This window comes from Homo sapiens, chromosome 20, assembly GCF_000001405.40.
Source record: "Homo sapiens chromosome 20, GRCh38.p14 Primary Assembly".
NCBI lineage: Eukaryota > Metazoa > Chordata > Mammalia > Primates > Hominidae > Homo > Homo sapiens.
Genome location: NC_000020.11, coordinates 9,031,618 through 9,052,847, shown reverse-complemented (window position 1 = coordinate 9,052,847; position 21,230 = coordinate 9,031,618). Strand labels below are relative to the sequence as shown.

At 41.3% G+C, this 21,230-nt stretch overlaps 1 annotated feature.

Moving 5' to 3' along the window:
- Nucleotides 650-1,849: an enhancer, noted in NCBI's record as "P300/CBP strongly-dependent group 1 enhancer chr20:9031646-9032845 (GRCh37/hg19 assembly coordinates)". NCBI's record gives its function as "activates an origin of replication core promoter dependent on BRD2, BRD4, P300/CBP, MED14 and CDK7 cofactors, with strong dependence on P300/CBP, by STARR-seq in HCT116 cells {active_cell/tissue: HCT116}" and the evidence as "EXISTENCE:reporter gene assay evidence [ECO:0000049][PMID:35650434]".

Here is a 21,230-nt window from a genome sequence, read left to right as displayed (position 1 = left end):
CGTTCCCATAAAAGACAACGAATTTCCAGGCTAGGAGCAGTGGCTCACGCCTGTAATCCCAACACTTTGGGAGGCCGAGGCGGGTGGATTACGAGGTCAGGAGATCAAGACCATCCTGGCTAACATGGTGAAACCCCGTCTCTACTAAAACTACAAAAAATTAGCCGGGCGAGGTCGCGGGCACCTGTAGTCCCAGCTACTCGGGAGGCTGAGGCAGGAGAATGGCATGAACCCGGGAGGCGGAGCTTGCAGTGAGCCGAGATCGCGCCACTGCCCTCCAGCCTGGGCGACAGAGCGAGACTCTATTTCAAAAAAAAAAAAAAAAAAAAAAAAGACAATGAATTTCCTTTCTTACATGGGAGAAGAATTAATAATGCTGCCCACACTGCTTCTCTCCCTGAAATTTCCAAGTTTCCAAGTCAGGAGGTAAGAAGATCTCTAAAAGGTCTAAATTAAAACTAATTTAAACTGGAGATTTAAAGTGGACCAATCTGAGTGCAGTGGAGCGTGTGATCAAAGCTTACTGCCTGCTCGACCTGCCGGGCTTAGGTGTGCCTCCTGCCTCAGCCTCTCAAGTAATGGGGACTACAGATATGTGCTACCACACCTGGCTATTTTTTTTTTGTCAGTAGAGATGGGGTCTCATTATATCCCCCAAGCTGGTCTTAAACTCCTGGGCTCAAGGGATCCTCCTGCATCAGCCTCCCAAAGCACTGGGATTACAGTCATGCGTCATAACACCCAGTCTGATTTTTTTTTAGGTAACAAAGTATAGAAAGATATCACTAGTTACCACCAATATTGAGTTCTTTCTTTCTGAGCACATACAAAAAAAAAAAAAAAAAAAAAACCTTACATTTCTCATCCTTCTTGGAGTTAGGCAGAGCTGTGTTTTATTTGTGAATCAATGGACTGTGAGCAAAAGCGACAAGTGATATTTTCATCTGAGAAAGTAAAAATCCTGCAGGGTTTTCTTTTCCTGCTGTGGCCCCCTGAAAATATACATATTAGATTAAACTGAGTCATGAGATGTAAGCAGGCTGGATCTCTGAGTCACCTCTTGGAAGGGAGGTGTCCTGGAGTTCTGCTGGGCCCATAGCAGATTTTCTATGAGTCATAAACCTTTGTGAAATCACTGGGATTCCTAGCTAATTTATAATGACAGGATAGTTTAAGCTATTCTGACTCATGTAGGAATTGAAACTGGAAGTAGAGGGCTGTCATAACACAAACCTAAAATGTTTGGTGGAGACTTGTCAGTTAGGTGGTGAACAACTGGCTAATGTGTATCCGAGTCTGGAAAAACAGTGACGCATATATTACAGGAGCAAAATATTTCTTAAAACAGTTGTCAATGGAACCTTGGGACATGTATTAGATTTTGATTATTACTCCAATGAATTACTACAAATTTAGGCTGAAAGCAACACAAACTTATTATCTTAAAGATCTGTAGTGCAGGAGTCCTATGTGAGTCTCACCAGGCTGAAATCAAGGTGTCAGCAGGCCGCATTTCTTTCTTCAGGCTCCAAGGGAGAATCTGGGTTTTTGCAGTCGGGTTGTTGGCAGAATCAGTTCCTTGCAGTTGTAGCATTGAGATTTACATTTCCTTGCTGACTGTAAACTGAGGGCTGTTCCAGCCTCTAGAGGCTATCTCACATTCCTTGACTTGTTATCCCCTTCCTCCACCACCAAAGCCAGCAAGGGCAGATACAGGCATACCTTGTTTTACTTGTTTCACTTTATTGCACTTTGCAGATATTGCTTTTTTTTTTAATAAATTGAAAATTTATGACAACCCTGCATCAAGCACATCTGTTGGCTCCACTTTTGCAATAGTGTGTTCTCGCTCTGTGTCTCGTTGTCACATTTTAGCAATTCTCACAATATTTCAAACTCTTTCATTATTATCAGGATGATCTGTGATCAGTGATCTGTGATGTTACTATTGTAATTGTTTTGAGGTGCCACAAACTGCGCCAATATAAAGTGATGAATGTTGTGTGTGTTCTGACTGCTTTACCAACTGCCCATTCCCCATCTATCTTCCTTCCCTCTGGCCCCCCTATTCCCTGAGACAACAATATTGAGATTGGACCAATTACTAATCTAACAATGGCCTCTAAGTGTTCAAGGTGAAGGGAAGGGTCACATGTCTGTCACATTTGATATAAAACTAGAAATGATGAAGCTGAGTGAGGTAGGCATGTCAAAAGCAGAGATAGGCTGAAAGTGAGGCCTCTTGCACCAAACAGTTAGCTAAGTTGTGAATGCAAAGGAAAAATTTTTGAAAGAAATTAAAAGTGCTATTCCAGCGAACACACAAATGTTAAGAAACCAAAACAGCCTTATTGCTGATAGGGAGAAAGTTTGTGTGGTCTGGACAGAAGATCAAACCAGCCCAAATATTCCCCTTAAGCCAAAACCTAACCCAGAGCAAGGCCCTAATTCTCTTCATCCTATGACAGAGAGGTGAAGAAGCTGCAAAATTTGAAGTTAATGCAGCAGGTGACATTAAGTTGAAGCCAATGTTTATTTACCATTTCAAAAATCCTAGGGCTAGGCCAGGCGTGGTGGCTCACTGCTGTAATCCCGGCACTTTGGGAAGCCGAAGTGGGTGGATCATCTGCGGTCAGGAGTTCGAGACTAGCCTGGCCAACATGGCAAAACCCCATCTCTACTAAAAATACAAAAATTAGCTGGGTGTGCCTGTAGTCTCAGCTACTCAGGAGGCTGAGGCAGAAGAATTGCTTGAACATGGAAGGCAGAGGTTGCAGTGAGCCGAAATCACACCACTGCACTCCAGCCTGGGTGACAGAGCAAGACTCTGTCTCAGAACAAAACAAAACAAAATACTAGGGCTTTTAAGAATTATGGACCAGGTGCAGTGGCTCATGCCTGTAATCCCATCACTCTGGGAGGTCGAGGCAGGCAGATCATGAGGTCAGGAGATTGAGACCATCCTGGCCAACATGGTGAAACCCCATCTCTACTAAAAATACAAAAAATTAGCCGGGTGTGGTGGCGGGTGCCTGTAGTCCCCAGCTACTCGGGAGGCTGAGGCATAAGAATGGCATTAACCTGGGAGGCGGAGCTTGCAGTGAGCCAAGATCACACCACTGCACTCCAGCCTGGGCAACAGAGCGAGACTCCATCTCAAAAAAAAAAAAAAGAATTATGTTAAATCTCTCCCTGTGCTCTGTAAATGAAACAACAAAGCCTAGACAAACAGCACATCTGTTCACAGCATGGTGTACTGAATATTTTGAGCCCACTGTTGAGACCCACTGTTTAGAAAAAAAGATTCCTCTCAAAATATTGCTACTCATTGACAGTGCACCTGGTCACCCAAGAGCTCTGATGGGGATGTACAAAGAGATTAATATTGTTTTCATGCCTGTTAATGCAACATCTAATCTGCAGCCCAGGGATCAAGGAGTCATTTCAACTTTCATGTCTTATTATTTAAGAAATACATTTTGTAAGGCTACAGCTGCCATAATTAGTGATTCCTCTGATGAATATGGGTAAAGTAAATTGAAAACCTTTTGAAAAGGATTTGCCATTCTAGATGCCATTAAGAACATCTGTGATTCATGGGAAGAGGTAAAAATATCAACATTCACAGGAGTTTGGAAGAAGTTCATTCCGACCTTTATGAATGACTGAGGGTTTAAGACTTCATTGGAAGAAGTCCCTGCAGATCTGATGGAAACAGCAAGAAAGCTGGAATTAGAAGTGGTTCCCAAAGATATGACTGAATTGCTGCAATCTCATGATGAAACTTGAACAGATAAGCAGTTGCTTCTTACGGATGAGCACAAAAAGTATTTCCTTGAGATGAAATCTACTGCAGATGAAGATGCTGTGAACATTGTTGGAATGACAACAAAGGATTTAGAATATTCCATAAAGTCAGTTGATAAAGCAGTGGCAGGGTTGAGAGGATTGACTGCAGTTTTTTTTTTTTAATTTAATTTTAAGTTCTGGGATACATATGCAGGATATGCAGGATTTGCATATCCTACGGCTTTTAAGGGCTTTTAAGAATTATGGACCAGGCACGGTGGCTCACACATGTAATCCCATCACTCTGGGAGGTCGAGGCCGGCAGATCACGAGGTCAAGAGATTGAGACCATCCTGGCCAACACAGTGAAACCCCGTCTCTACTAAAAATACGAAAAATTAGCTGGATGTGGTGGCGGGTGCCTGTAGTCCCAGCTACTCGGGAGGCTGAGGCAGGAGAATGGCTTTAACCTGGGAAGTGGAGCTTGCAGTGAGCCAAGATCACACCACTGCACTCCAGCCTGGGCAACAGAGCGAGACTCCATCTCAAAAAAAAAAAAAAGAATTATGTTAAATCTCTCCCTGTGCTCTGTAAGTGAAACAACAAAGCCTAGACAACAGCACATCTGTTCACACGGGCTGCACGGGATACACGTGCAGGATTTGCTACGTAGGTAAATGTGTGCAGTAATAGTTTGCTGCACTATCAACCTATCCATTAACTGTGTATCCTGATGCTCTCCCTCCCACTGGCCCCTTGACAGGCCCCAGTGCATGTTGTTTCTCTCCCTGTGTCAATGTGTTTTCATTGTTCAGCTCCTACTTATAAGTGGAAACATGTGGTGTTTGGTTTTCTGCTTCTGTGTTAGTTTGCTGAGAATTATGGCTTCCAGCTCCATCCATGCCTCTGCAAAGGACACGACCTCATTCCTTTTTATGGCTGCATAGTATTCCATGGTGTATATGTACCACATTTTCTTTATCCAATCTATCATTGATGGGCATTTGGGTTGATTCCATGTCTTTGCTATTGTGGAATGGTGCTGCAGTGAACATATGTGTGCATGTGTCTATAATAGAATGATTTATGTTCCTTTGGGTATACACTCAGTAATGAGATTTCAGGGTCAAATGATATATCTTGTTCTAGATACTTGAAGAATTGCCATACTGTCTTCCACAATGGTTGAACTAATTTACATTCCCACCAACAGTGTAAAAGCATTCCTATTTCTCCACAGCCTCACCAGCATCTGTTGTTCCTTGACTTTTTAATAATTGCCATTCTGACTGATGATTATGAAAATCTCATTGTGGTTTTGATTTGCATTTCTCTAATGATCAGTGATGTTGAGCTTTTTTCATATGTTTGTTGGCCACATAAATGTCTTCTTTTGAGAAGTGTCTGTTCATGTCCTTTGCCCACTTTTTAATGGGGTTGTTTGTTTTTTTCTTGTAAATTTGTTTAAGTTCCTTGTAGATGCTGGATATTAGACCTTTGGATTGACTCCAATTCTTACAGGAAGTTCTACTGTGGGTAAAATGCTAACAAGTAGCGTTGCCTCCTCACATAAAACATTTGTGAGGGAAGAATCAATCAATGAGGCAGATTTCATTGTTGTATTTTGTTTTAAAATTGCCACAGCCACCACAGCCTTCCTTCAGCAACTACCAACCTGATCAATCAGCAGCCATCCACATTGAGGCAAGACTCTCCACCAGCAAAAAGATTATGGGTCTCAGAAGATTCCAATAATCATTAGTATTTTTACCAATAAAGTATTTTTAATTAAAGTATGTACATTTTTTCAGACATAATTCTTTTGTGAACTTAATAGACTACAGTGTTGTGTACAAATTTTATATGCACTGAGAAATTTAAAAATTTGCGTGACTCAATTTATTGTGATATTTGTTTTATTGTGGTGGTCTAGAGCAGGGGTCCCCAACCCCAGGAGCCACCAACTGATATCTTAGGAACTGTTAGGAACCAGGCTGCACAGCAGGCGGTGAGCTGCAGGCAAAGGAGCATTACTGCCTGAGCTCCACCTCTTGTCAGATCAGCCGTGGCATTAGATTCTCACAGGAGTGCGAACCCTATTGTGAGCTACTCATGGGAGGGATCTAGGTTGTGCACTCCTTATGAGAATCTAATGTCTGATGATCTGTCACTGTCTCCCATTACCCCCCAGATGGGACTGTCTAGTTGTAGGAAAACAAGTTCAGGGCTCCCACTGATTCTATATTAAGGTGAGTTGCATAATTATTTCATTATATATTACAGTGTAATAATAATAGAAATAAAGTACAAAATAAATGTTATGTGCTTGAATCATCCCAAAACCATCCCAGCTCTTCCACTGCCTGGGTCTGAGGAAAAACTGTCTTCCACGAAACCGGTCTCTGGTGCCAAAAAAGTTGGGGACTGCCGGTCTAGAGTCAAATCCACAATATCTTTGAGGCGTGCCTGTGTATTCTTTTTATGTTGTTTTCTCTGACTTACCCTTTCTGTGTGGAATCCCTCTGACTTTTACGCCTCTGCTCTTAAATAACTCATGCCATTAGATTGGGACCACCTAGATAATTTCCCTATTTTAAGGTTAGCTGATCAGCCACCTTAATCTGTCCACAGCCTTAATTCCCCCCCTCCCCGCCCTGCCACCTTTTTTTTTTTTTTTTTTTTTTTGAGTCGGAGTCTCGCTCTGTTGCCCAAGCTGGAGTGCAGTAGTGCAATCTTGGCTCACTGCAACATCCGCCTCCCAGGTTGAAGTGATTCTCCTGCCTCAGCCTCCCAAGCAGCTGGGACTACAGGTGTGCACCACCATGCCCAGCTAATTTTCTTTTGTATTTTTAGTAGAGGCAGGGGTCTTGCCATGTTGGCCAGGATGGTCTCGAACTCCTGACCTCAGACTATCCACCCGCCCCTTCCTCCAAAACTGCTGGGATTACAGGTGTGAGCCACCGTGCCTGGCCTTAATTCCCTTTTGCCATGTAAAATAACATATTCACAGGTTCCAGGGATTAGGATGGGAATATCTTTCACAGCCATTTTCTGTATAACACAGGAGTCGTATGAGCCTAATAAACTGGTAGCTCTTGGAGAAGAGGATGAAAACTTCAGGAGTTGATTGCAGTTGGCTGCATTTGGCGCAGGTGCTACAAGAAAGCAATGAGCTCAAGAAACAATTGCCAACTTGCAAGTAAAAATGAGAGGAAACGGAGATTCTAGAAATTCAGGACCTCGTAATTTTGGTAAAGCCCTCTGCTTCCAGTTCCTAAAGAAAGAGATGGAATTAAAAAAAATAAAAGATTGATGTAACAAAATAGCAGGATAAACTTTCAGTTGATTAAAAGACATCAAGGCAAACAGACTAAGGGTATGTTTTTTGTTTTTTTTTCAGATGAAGTTTCACTCTGTCACCCAGGCTGGAGTGCAGTGGCGCGATGATCTTGGCTCACTGCAACCTCCACCTCCAGGGTTGAAGCAACTCTCATGTCTCAGTCTCCTGAGTAGGTAAGATTACAGATGCATGCTACCTCACCCAGCTAATTTTTGTATTTTTAGTAGAGACAAGGTTTCACCATGTTGTGCAGGATGGTCTTGAATTCCTGACCTCAGGTGATCCACCCACCTCGGCCTCCCAAAGTGCTGGGATTACAGGCGTGAGCCACCACACCCGGCCTAGAGGTATGGTTTTGAGTAAAACTTTTCAGTGCCTAGGGGTATGGTTTTGAGTAAAACTGTTCAGTTGGATAAAATGACTCAAGGCAAAGATAAGAGTAAGTGGGTAGCCTTCTTACTGAACCCCCATACCCATAAGGTAAGCCCCATTAAGTTGAAAATGAGACATGGCATCTGAGTCAGTGAAGCAAATAGGGCTTCAGAATAATAACCAAGACCTTGATTTTGGTCATTGGTCACATGGAACGGATTGCAGGCAATTAGGTCATAAGCCTGCTAGGTTTGGGGGAAGAATTGCTAAGATCAGATAAACCTGTGACTATTTCAGGTATAAAGCAACCTGAGGAGAGTCTTTTCCCAAATGTCAATTTCAAATGTGGCTGAAAAGGATGATGGAATAGGAAGAAGCTTCAGAGGTCAGAGTTCACAGATCCCATGGACAGGTTGCTGATCAAGAAATGTTTCCCACCCAGGGAATGGCCAGGACTAGGGCAAGTGAGGCATTTGCCCGAGACACAAAATTTACAGAGCTGCCAAAACACTCAGTAATCAAAATGACTAATGCTTTAATGCAATATAGCAGTCCCCCCTACAAGACCTCCAATGAATACCTGAAACTGCAGATAGTACTGAACCCTATATATGCTATGATTTTATTCTAGACATACATACTTATGAAAAAGTTTAATTTATAAATTAGGCACAGATTGTTGTTAAGAAATTAACAACAACAATAATAAAATAGAACAACTGTAAAAATATACTGCCATAGATGTTATGTGAATGTGGTCTCTTCCTGTCCCTCTGTCTCTTTCTCTCTCCAAAATAATGTAATATTTTCAAACTGTGGTTGACCAAGGGTAACTGAAACCGAGGAAAGTGAAATTGCTGATAAAAGGGGACTGCTGTAATTAAAAAATAAAAATGAATGCAGAGAAACCCATGATAAATGAAATGAAATTTAAATAAACAGAATTTATTTATTTATTTATTTTTTTTTTTGAGACGGACTCTCACTCTGTCACCCAGGCTGGAGCGCAGTGGTAAGATCTCAGCTCACTGTAACCTCCGCCTCCTGGGTTTAAGCGATTCTCCTACCTCAGCCTCCTGAGCAGCTGGAATTACAGGTGCCCACCACCACGCCTGACTAATTTTTGTATTTTTAGTAGAAGCGGGGTTTCGCCATGTTGGCCAGGCTGGTCTCGAACTCCGGACCTCAGGTGATCTGCCCGCCTTGGCCTCCCAAAGTGCTGGAATTACAGGTGTGAGCCACTGCACCTGGCCAGACAGCATTTATTCTTGAAAAAAAGAAACAAGTTTGAGCAAGGTGATGACCAGTGGGGCCCAAACTAATACTTCATGTTGATACAATTGAGAAGCAAATGGAAAAAGACTAACTTTTCCAGTTTCTTATTGCTTTTCATTTTACAGATAATGATTACTTAAGATTCACTAATTAGCTCTTAACCCCACACCTACCGTCATCATCAAATTTCAATGCATAGGTGTAACTCACTTAGTGATATATTCCTGACATTTTATGAAATTTGAATTTCTTTTTTACTGTCAAATCATATCTTTTCTTTAGAGCTGTTTTATCTTCTGCCTTATTCATCTTCAAGTGGCAGCGTCTTTTAAGCTACTAAATTTCTCTGTTCCCAGGTTGATCTGCTAAGGAGTTAAGGATCTAAATACACATTTAATTGTGAGAGGAATTAAAAGCTCAGGACCTCAATTCACTATGCCAACAGGAAAAAATTAAACGGAAAGCTGAGTCATGCAAGAACCTGCCTTTCCTTTTGTTCTTAAGCAGTTAGCTACAGGTAAAATATCTCCATAGGTAGCGACTCTGTTCACCTTATCTTACGTAAAGTGCCCATTCACTGAGCACAAGGCAAATGCATAATTGATGATACCTCCACCGGCTGCTTTTCTCTTGAAATATGTGGATGATGCTACCTTCCCTCTTTCCCTTCCAGCCCACTTTTCCCTTTTATATATTGAAGCCCTCAAAGTCATCTTTGGAAAAAGGCACGGACCCTAGACAGTTTCTGGGTTTCCCTGATTTGTTGTTGTTGTTGTTGTCGTTTGTTTTTCTCTCAGACATTGTCCTTAACCTTGGCAAAATAAACTTCTAAATTGATTGAGACCTATCGGAGATAATTCTTGGGTTACAAAATATACTAACATAGTTTATTTAAATTTTTTAAAAATATTTATTTCAATAGTTTTGGGAGGTAAAGGTGGTTTTTGGTTATGTGGATAAGTTCTTCATTGGTAATTTCTGAGATTTTAGTACACCTGTTACCCAAGCAGTGTACACTGTACCCAGGATGTAGTCTTTTATCCCTCACCCCACTCCCAGCCTTTCCCCCACCCTGAGTCTCCAAAGTCCATTGCATCATTCTTATGCCTTTGTATCCTCCTAGCTTAGCCCTCACTGATAAGTGAGAACATACCATATTTGGTTTTCCATTCCTGAGTTACTTCATTTAGAATAATGGCCTCCAGATTCCATCCAAGTTGCTGCAAAAGACATTATTTTGTTCCTTTTTATGAGTAGTATTGAGTAGTATTCCATGGTGTGTATGTACCAAATTTTCTTTATCCACTCCTTGGTTGATGGGCACTTAGGTTGGTTCCATATCTTTGCAATTGCAAATCGTGCTGCTATAAATACGTATGTACGTGTGTTTTTTCCATATAATGACTTCTTTTCCTTTGAGTAGATACCCAGTAGTGGGATTGCTGGATGGAATGGTAGTTCAGCTTTTAGATCTTTAAGGAATCTCCACACTGTTTTCCATAGTGGTTGTACCGCTATGGAAACCTAAATTGCATTCCCACCAGCAGCGTAAAAGTGTAGGGGAGCTCATTTTTAATCATGATGTCATAGAATCACTGATCATTAATTTATTATTATCATTCGGTTTTCATTTTGTATACCCACAAGCTTCTTAAGAACTTCCTTGTTCTTAGAAGCCTAGGAATAGTAAAATTGTTAACGGTTCCTGCACATTTGGGCAGCTGGCCATTCAACCTTCCAAAGTGACTCCTTTTAAAAAGTTATTCCTCTGAATACAAGAAGAAAACAGCCGAAGGAGAGGTCTGATTTATCCCAAATACACTTTTCTGACAGTTTGTAGCTTTTGAAGATCTATAATCCACCTAGGAGGCCTCAATGGGAAAAAAATGTTATGGTCTCAAAAAAGGTCAGGAACAGCTAATTTACAGAAGAAATAAGAGAAAAATGTCCAGCTTCACTTATGGTAATTAATAAATATAAAAATCTAAAACAATATAATATCTTTCAATGACTGAATTAGCAAAGGCCTCCTTAAATGACCACACTTACAGCAGATGAAACAAACACTGTAGCCTGGCTAAGGGAAGTGTAAATATTCCTGGAAATTATTTGTAATACTTATATACTCTGTCACTATAAATTCACTTAGAGTAGACTCTTCAAAATATATAATTCATTTCAGGGACAATTACTTATATACTGAAATATTCATTTCAGTGAAAGATGAATTCTGAAAAATAAATTGAAATGAACCTAAATGTCCAACTATAGGCGCATGGTTACATGCATTATGGAGCAGTCCAGATTCTTTGAAAAAGTTGGGGTTTTGGTGTCTTTGACCTAGATTCTTCTCCCAGCTGTAAAATCTTGGGCAAATCAATTATTCTCTCTGAATATCAGTGCTCTCATCTCAAAAGTGGGGACAATAATATTTAAGATTCATGGATGTTGTATGACAAAGGCTTCTTATAAAAAAAAAATCTCTCTCCACTTTTGGATTTCTCTAAGCAGGCATCTAGAGGTATCCTGTCCAGTGTAGAAGTCACTAGCTATAGATGACTATTTAAATTAAATGTATTAGAAATAAATACAACTTGAGCTTTAGTTCTTTAGTCATACTAGTCATATTTCAAGCGCTCAGGAGCCACATGGTGATAATGGCTACCTCCCTCAGTTCTTCCATGTAGCCCAAGACCACATAGTTTTGTTTTACTGACTCACTTGCCTGGGTCTAAATCCAGCTCAGGCCTTTCTAGCCTGATGACTTGGGGTAAACACATAAATTCTTGGAGCCTCATTTACCCATCTGCAACAGGGAGATAATGAAAATAACTAGCTTGTGGATTGTTTTGAGAATGAGAAATAAAGTGGTTCACACTCATTTCCAGCAGACTGCCATCTTGCTACTGAATTGGCTTCCCAATGATCCTGATACTAGGAGAAGGTGCACTGACAATGTATAAAATAATATTATGCAAGCTAGAAAGGTCTCTCATCATACTCTTGTGAGCTTGAGAGCTATGAGTCAATCCTTTGAGGCTGATCTATTTGCATGTGCCAGCAAAACTGAGTTTCTGAAAATGCACACTTAGGACCATACCCACTGTCATATCACAGCAGAGAGATCAGTCTCCTTAGAGAAATCTACTTTCTTGGGTTGCTTTAGCTACAGCCTACACAATAGTCAGACAGTTTTGTGATTCATTTATATCTATCATCCTATGCATCTTCCCTATGCAGACCGATTTTCATTTTAAGGGCACATTTATATTTACCATTAATCCTTTTGCTTTGCATCACTCCATATAGAAATAATGCAGTAAGAGTTAAATTTCAAATAAGACAAAGCATAACAAAACAAAACCTTTACCCATCAAGGTCAAAAGAAGCATCTGGAACAATTATCCACACTGAACGCCTTACAAAAAGCCATGAACCCAAATTTCCTCTTTTGTTTCCTTTCCCTGTCTCTGTAGCCATTTTTTAATTATTATCTGATAATCATGGTTTCTCTATTTTCCCCCTACCTCCATCAAGGATTGCTTTAAGGGGGGAAAAAATCCAATAACCTCATTCACATTAAGATGTAAATTAGCAATTCCCTGCAAGGCTTAATAGGGTCTCTCCCACAGGGAATTTATATTTTAATGTGAACCAAAGGACCATATCTATAAAAGGATAATTTCAGGGATCAGAAATTTAAGTAAAGAAGGTCACCCAAGGAGGCTATAAGCATTTCTCCAGCCCACATGTATGCCAGACCTTGGGCAGTGGAGCACAGCAAGACCTGGGAGGAACAGTCAGAAACTGAGGACCAGGCTGAACATTGTGGATGCTCCTGGGTGAGCCACAGCAAAGTGGGAGGTGGAGCATGGTGGGGGAAGGCTTGGTGGCAGGTGGAAGTCAGGGGCCTAGCTCCTCCAAAGGTGAGTGTAGGGGAGGCCCAGCAAGAGGAAGCCACTGGGAGTCCTGGCAGACAGGAGAGGAATCTGGTAATAGCCAATGTGCAGACATCCAGACAAGCAGACAGCAGTGCCAGGAACCATGGACTCCACTGCGACTTTGAGGCTTAAGGCAGGCTTAGTTTTTCAGAGAACCAGGATAAGAAATTCCGAAATGGAGTCCCAGAGGTATGGGGGTAGCAGCCAGATAACCAGAGTGAAGAGTCTCATTGTCCTGTGACACCTGGGACACTAACGATCCATCCACCCAATTTCTTGGCTCCAGTACTTACTCAAAAGTAGGTTTTATCCAGCCTCAGTGGCTTAAAACAAATGGGCCATGGCTTTGACCCTGACAAACGCTTCTTGTTGTTGTTGTTGTTTTGTTTGTTTGTTTGTTTTGTTTTTGCTGCACTCCTGGCCTTACCTATTTTCCAGAACTGACCTCCACTCAGTACTCGGCTCTGGATTTTTTCCAATGTGCGATTATGGAGCATCTGGCTGCTTGCTCTTCTGTCTTTCTCATGCTTTGTAGCTTTGGTTCTTCTTGTCCTAGTCTCCCATTCCTGTTTCTCACCAGCCGACTTCCTTCTATCCTCTGCACTGGCTCTAGTTCCAGTTTCTTAAACTCACTTCCCTCGAAGTAATTTACGTTCTACACAGCTTAATCAAAAGATGCCTCTGATGGTGTCCAAACTATTCCCCTCCTCCCAAGCCAATCTTAGCCAACTGTGTCTCAATTACCATCAGTGGGAGCCCTGAAGAAACATCAAGTAGGAAGAATCTGGCCCATACATGTCAGTTAAATTATGCAAAGAGGAGTTCTCTTTAGTAGCCTGAGCCTTTCACCTCTTAGAAGATCATCAGCAGGGCCCAGAATCCACTGGTCCGATCAGCTCTTCTACTGTTTCAGGACCTATCCCAGATGTCACAAGTCTCCCTGGACCAAGCAATAAATTTGGGGAAGACTCTGAAGCTCAATTTGTATTTTCTCTTTTTTTGACTGTATTAGTCAAGTATTTTTTTTCATGGCAGTAATAGCTATATAACAAACAATTCCCAAGTCTCAGTGACTCAAAGGAAAATTTATGTTTCTGTTGAGATTCTTTTCCCGCAGCAGCTTCCTGGACCGTCAACTGTAGGTTAGCTGAGCCAGCTCTGCTTCAGGCTACAGATTGGATTTAGATCTTCTCCATATGCCTCTCATTCAAGGGCCCAGGATGAAGAAATAGAGACTACTTGGCACATGTTCTCCTCAAGGAAAATGGCAGAAATACAAGAGAGCAAGCAGAACTATACGAGCACATTCAAAACCTTTGGACAGCCAAGGTATAGATTATATCTTCTCACACTCCATTGACCAAAGCAAGACACATGGCCAAGCCCAAAGTCAGTAAGTTGTAGAATAGTATATTCTGTTAAAAGTGAATTTAACAGAATATAAAAGTATATTCTGTTAAAAGTGACCTCAGAGAAAAGATAGGGTTGTGAAAAAATAATACATTCCACAACATTGTCCTAAATAGTGGCACTAAAACAACAAAATAATAATAGGAGGAAAAGCTACACTTCATTAAATGCTTTCTTTGGGCTAGCCAATGGACTAAGCTCTCTATATGCATTATCTCATCCATCCTATTGACAATTTTCAAAAGCAAATATCTTTTTATTCCCCACGTGTTAGATGAGGAAACTTAGGAACAGATGGTAAAGTAAGCACTAACAACAGTAGCAGAAATAGTTAGGAGCTCATAGCCACTAAACACTGCATCAGTTTCAAGCCTTTTTTGCAACAAATAATAGAAAATTCAACTGAAGTTGCTTTAATGATGTCTTTCACTACTTATTGTGCAAGAAGCCTAGAGGAAGGAGATTACAGGTATGGTTCCCAGTGGTTCATTAGTATCTCTCAAGAATCCAAGGGCAGGCTGGGTGTGGTGGCTCACACCTGTAATCTCAGCACTTTGGGAGGCTGAGGAGGGCGGATCAACTGAGTCTGGGAGTTCAAGGCCAGCCTGACCAACATGGAGAAACCCCGTCTCTACTAAAAATACAAAAATTAGCCAGGCATGGTGGTGCATGCCTGTAATCCCAGCTACTTGGGAGGCTGAAGCAGGAGAATTGCTTGAACCCGGGAGGTGGAGGTTGAGGTGAGCCAAGATCACGCCACTGCACTCCAGCCTGGGCAACATAAGCAAAACTCTGTCTAAAAAAAAAAAAAAAAAATGGCTGTTATACCAAAAAAAAAAAAAAAAAAAAAAAAGAATCCAAGGGCTTCTTTGTTTCTGTTCTGTCATAATGGTTGTGTTGCACCTTCATAGCACCAAGATGGCAATCCTATGCAGATGACAACTTCCAAAATATTCCCATGATGCATCCCTCTATTAAAGTCCTCACAAGACACTTCCCATCATATCCCATTGGCCAAAATTACATCACATACTAATGTCTAAACCAATCACTTGACAAGAGATAAAACAACTCTGATTGGCTTACACAAATTATGATTTCTCCCTCTGTGTTTAGGAGAAACCTGGACTTTTTAACAGGCTGTTCCTCTGAAGCAGGTAAATAACATTGGCATTCAGTTAATGAGGAAGAGAGAAAAGAAAGGCTGTTGGATTGGCAACCAAAATGTCTTCACCCTCTCTTACTATGCGCCGTTGTCCACTATGGTGAGCGTCCTGCCTGTATTGACTCATCCAATACTCTCAATGGCCCTGTGATTTTAAAGGCTCACAATTTTCTATTTCATTCTGAAAAATGAGGTAAATTTTGCAAGATCACTCAACTAATAAATGGCAGAGCCAAAATTTGAACCTTGAATCAAAATTAGTTTCCAAAGCTGGAGTTCTTAACCAAAGTCTAGATATTTCTGCATTATATTGGTTGTAAGATATATATTGTCACATTTTAATAGCTATGAAATTAGAATGTACTAACAACAATGATGTCATAAAATCTCACCGCCCACATTTCTTTTCCCTTAAGGATACAGTAGTTCCTGCTTATCCACAGGGAATATGTTCCAGGACCCCTGAAAGTCATGGATAATACTGAATTCTGTATATAGTATGTTGTTTTCTAAACATACATAGCTATGATAAAGTTTAATTTGTAAATCAGGCACAGTAAGATTAAAAACAATAATTAGTAATAAAATATAACAATTATAACAATATGTCAGCCTCACTACTCTTGTGCTTTCAGGTCATTATTAAGTAAAATAAGAGTGACTTGAACAAAAGCACTGTGATACCTCCACAGTTGATGTGATAATTGAGACGGCTTCTAAGTGACCAATGGGCAGGTAGCATGTACAGTATGGATACACTGGACAAAGGAATGATTCATGTCTTGGGCATGATGGAGTAGGATAGGCAGAAATTTCATCACACTACTCAAAATGGTGTGAAATTTAAAACTTATACATTTTTATTTCTGGAAATTTTCCTTTAATATTTTTGGATCATGGTTTAACATAGGTAACTGAAACTGAAATCATGAATAAGAGGGCTACTGTACATAAAATAATGTAATGATGTAACTTATAATCAAAGGCATGGCTGTGAAGAAATATACTTCCAAGTCAAGATAGGATTTTAAAAAGTGGGCCGGGTGTGGTGACTCATGCCTGTAATCCCAGCACTTTGGGAGGCCAAGGCAGGCAGATCACCTGAGGTTGGGAGTTCAAGACCAGCCTGACCAAAATGGTGAAACCCCGTCTCTACTAAAAATACAAAATTAGCCAGGTGTGGTGGTGCACGCCTGTAATCCCAGCTACTTGGGAGGCTGAGGCAGGAGAATCGCTTAACTCGGGAGGCAGAGGTTGCAGTGAGCTGAGATTGCACCATCACACTCCAGCCTGGGTAACAAGAGTGAAACTCTGTCTCAAAAAAAAAAAAAAAAAAGATGCCAAATTGCCCAGCCCATGTGTCCAAAATGCCAGTTCCCTGATTAATCACTACTAGGAATATGCGGGAGGGACCTCTTGCCCCTGCTTGTTGGGAAAAGGGGAAGTTCAGACACAAGTAGAAGTTATACACACTAATGACATATTCTTTTTATGAGTTACAACACAGAATGACATCCTCTTATGGAGAGTGGTCTCCCACCTTGTATTGACCTTGAAAACTCATGGAAAAATAAGATAGGGAGCCATGCCAGTACCTCTTGTCTCCAGCTGGCCCCACCTGCCTTGAGATCATAGCGCCTTTTATCTAGAACCTTACCCTGACTGGGACCTTAGTGCATTATGACTATATAATAAGTACACCAGCAGCTATACCTACCACCACCACATTCCTACTATCTGATTGGCCCAGGAAAAGACCTGCCTCCCCTCTTCCCATACAATCAAAGCCTTCTCTGTTTATGAATATATTGTTACACTCATGCAAATCTGGGCTTCCCTTCAATTTACCCCTTTCCCTGTCCCCTTTGCTTCCACAATCTCCATAGTCACTTGGGGTGAATTAATCTCTCCTCATCCTTCTGTTCTGCTCTAGGCTGTTGTGCCAGCCCTGCTGTGCACCAGGGGGATTTGCTTATTTATTTATTTATTTTTATTTTTATTTTTAGAGACAGTGTCTCACTCTGATGTCCAGGCTGGAGTGCAGTGGCGTGATCTGCAGCCTCAAACTCCTGGGCTCAAGTGGTCCTCCTGCTTCAGCCTCCCAAGTAGCTAGCTGGGACTATAGGTATGTGTCACCACGTCTGGCTGATTTTGAAATTTTTTGTAGAGACAGCATCTCGCTATGTTTCCCAGGCTGGTCTCCAACTACTGGCCTGAAGTAATTCTCCCCAGAGGGCTAGGATTACAGGCATGAGTCACCAAGCCCAGCCAAGCAGGGGGCATTTAAAGGGCTCTAAGGCTGTAGCTAAGATATCCTCACCAGTGCATTTATTGGTGTGCATCCTGAGGGGAAAATTTTGAAAAATGCTTTAGGGACACATGGATGAAAGATACACAAACTCTTCTCAAATAAGACAGGCTTGCAAAAGGCTAACTACTATAAAGCAGAACATTGTGAGGGTCAAAGCAGAATGCTTAAAATCTGGGGGTGTGTGGGAGATAGAGGTGAGTATTCAGGAGGGTTTTACAGAAACCTTTAAGCAGAGCCAAGTTTGTTTTTGTATTTTTTTTTTTTTTTTGAGACAACCTATGTCACACAGGCTGACATAATCATGGCTCACTGTAGCCTCAACCTCCCGAGCTCAACTGATCCTCCCACCTTAGCGTCCTGATTAGCTGGGACTACAGGTGCACACCACCATGCCTGGCTAATTTTTGTATTGTTTGTAGAGATGGGGTTTTGCCATGTTGGCCAGGCTGGTCTCAAACTCCTGGGCTCAAAGTGATCCACCCACCTCAGCCTCCCAAAGTGTTGGGATTACAGCCATGAGCCACCATGCCCAGCCGCCAAGTTCTTCAAAAGCATTTTTAGTAGGGATGTAAATGCTAAAACTGACTATTCTATACAGGAAAGGCTAGAGCTAACTCTAGCTAACTCTCACCATGAGAGATAGAATGCTGAGAGTAGTTTCAGTAGGAATAAAAATGAAAAGATGAATATAGAGTATGAAGGCGCTAATGATGATGCCTTAGCTAGGATTCTGTAGAGGCGAAATCTGAGATGTTCTCAGGAACAACTCAGATAGCACCAGAAAGAAACCAGATAGGATCACTTTCAGCTAAAGGGTAGCCTCAGCCTGTTCCTGCAGGGAGCTCTGGAGCAAGAGCAGCACCACAGAGCTGTCTTCCCTTAAAGCAAGGGGGCTGGGCTTTTAAAAATTCACCATATTGGCTACTAACTGGGGGCTCTTTGTAGGAGAAGCCACCATTTCCCAGGGCATTGTGGGTGAGGCGGCTCCCACAGCCAAGGACAGCTCTCCAGAGAAGGATACATCTATGAACTATGAACAGCCAACATTTACATCAACTGGGTGTCTGGGTGAGACACCAAAATTATCAATGGCAGAAAAATTTTTATAAGACTTAATGACACAGTAGATGGTGATTTCTTAAAATGGAGTTTCTTATGTTTCCATTTTCTGTTTTGATTTATCTGTACTTCAAATGCATGTGTTTTTAAACCATAAAGCAATGTACAAAAAGCAAAGTATGAGAAAGATTTACTGCTTCATACTGAAAGAAATCTCTCTTCCCTCTCTCTTTCTACTCTAGCAGAGATATAGAAGAATGTTTAGGAATTAATGCTAAGCTGCATCAGTAAAGAAGTCAAGCAGTTGACCAAGGTTATCTATGTCAGGACTCAACTCAAATTTGTTTGAGCATAGAGGGACCTTATTGGCTTGGGTCACTACAAAGGGTGAGTTTGGACCTAATGTATGAGATGGCTGATTCAGGACTCAAAATGAGGTGATCATTCTACCCAGCAATCCCATTACTGTGTATATACCCAAAGGAATATAAATTGTTCTGTTATAAAGACACATGCACGCATATGTTCATTGCAGCACTATTCACAATAGCAAAGACATGGAATCAACCTAAATGCCCATCAATGATAGACTGGACAAAGAAAATGTAGTACATATGCACCATAGAATATTATGCAGCCATAAAAAAGAACAAGATCATGTCCTTTGCAGGGACGTGGATGGAGCTAGAGGCCATTATCCTTAGCAAACTAACATAGGATCAGAAAACCAAATACCGCCACTTAGAAGTGGGAGGTAAATGATGAGAACACACAAACACGTAGAAAGAAACAACACACCCTGGGGCCTATCAGAGAGTACAAGGAAGGAAGAGGGAGAGGATCAGGAAAAATAACTAATCGGTATCGGTAATGAAATAATCTGTACCACGGATCCCCACGACACAAGTTTACCTATGTAACAAACCTGCACACGTACCCCTGAACTTAAATAAAAGTTAAAAAGAAAGAAAAATAAGCTTATCCTTAAAGGGCCTATGATCGTTACCTAAAAATTTGTTCAGGGGAAGAAACGTACTGACTTTCTCTATGTCTGAAAATATCCCGATATTTAATCACCTTAACCTAATGGTTGGTTGCCCCACTTTCTCTGTATGTTTTTGTGTTATTCTACCCACAAACATATACTCCCTGCTCTGGAGCAATGGTTCTTAGCATTAGTATGCATGAGACTCATCTGGAAGGCTTATAAATACACAAATTCCTGGGTACCACACCCTGAGTGTCTGATTCAATAGGTCTGGACTGTGGATTTTCATTTCTCTTTTTTTGTTTTCCTTTTCATTCCCATCACCCAGGCTGGTATGCAATGGTGCGATCTCGGCTCACTGCAACTTCCACCTCTCAGGCTCAAGTGATTCTCCTGCCTCAGCCTCCCAAGTACCTGGAACTACAGGTGTGTGCCACTGTACCTGGCTAATTTTCGTATTTGTTTAGTAGAGATGGAGGATCTCACTATGCTGTCCATGCTGGTCTCAAACTCTTGAGCTCAAGCAATCCACCCACCTTGGCCTCCCAAAGTGTTGGAGTTACAGGCTTGAGCCACCACACCCAGCCGGATTTTCATTTCTAACAGCTTTCCAGGTGATACAGATGCTGTTGGTCTGGGGACCTAATTGTGAGAACTACTGCTCTGGGAAAAGTGGATGGAAAAGTCAGCATTTTGGCCACTACAGATGGCGTTTAGCAAGATATTAGATGATCACAATAGGCTTAAACAAGAAATGGCTGGTTTTCAAGTCAATATGAAAGGAAATCAAAAGGATCCCTGTTATGGGGCTGGACTCTCACATAGTGGTAGACGAAACTGAAAGAACTTTGACAATGTTCCAGGAAATTTCCGTAATCGAACAGTTATTCAGCCAGATACAAAGATCAGATAAACCGCCTTGACCTTCTTACTACCTGAGTCTGTTCCATATGTCCTCAAAGTAGTTGCCCTTAGCTAAAAAGAAAGACGTTGGGCCTAGAATACAAACTAACAAAAAACAGATTTGAGAACTATGTTTAGGATCAGAACTATGTAATGACGTGAGTGTACTACATTTTTGAAGCGCTTGAATTGCCAAAGAAACTGTGAGCCAGGACTGAAAACGTTTGGATTGTTTGAACTTTAAAACAACTTCCAGTCTGTTTCCTTACCTAGAATGTAAGATACATGAAAAAAGGGACCTTGTTTGTCTTCTTAAACCACTGTACCCAATACCTAGATGGAGCTTCACACAGAATATATGCCTAATAAATGTGTTAAGAATGAATGAAACCAAAACACCACAATACAGCCATCAGAGATCTGAAATTTGCAGCTAGAATCTGGTTGCAAAAACTGTGTATCGCCCAAGGAAGATATAGTCTCCCCAGATATGGCCATAGAGGTTTATGGACAAGAAAGAGACTCCTTGAGTGCAGATCTAGGGCATGAGGAAAATGAAGAAGGAAGCTGCTTCTTGCTAGAATCAGGGTCTAGCAAGAAAGTCCCCACAACCCCAAGGGTACTCATGGGGAAAGCTGTTCACAATGTGTGTGTAGCAGGATTTCAAATTTGCTAGT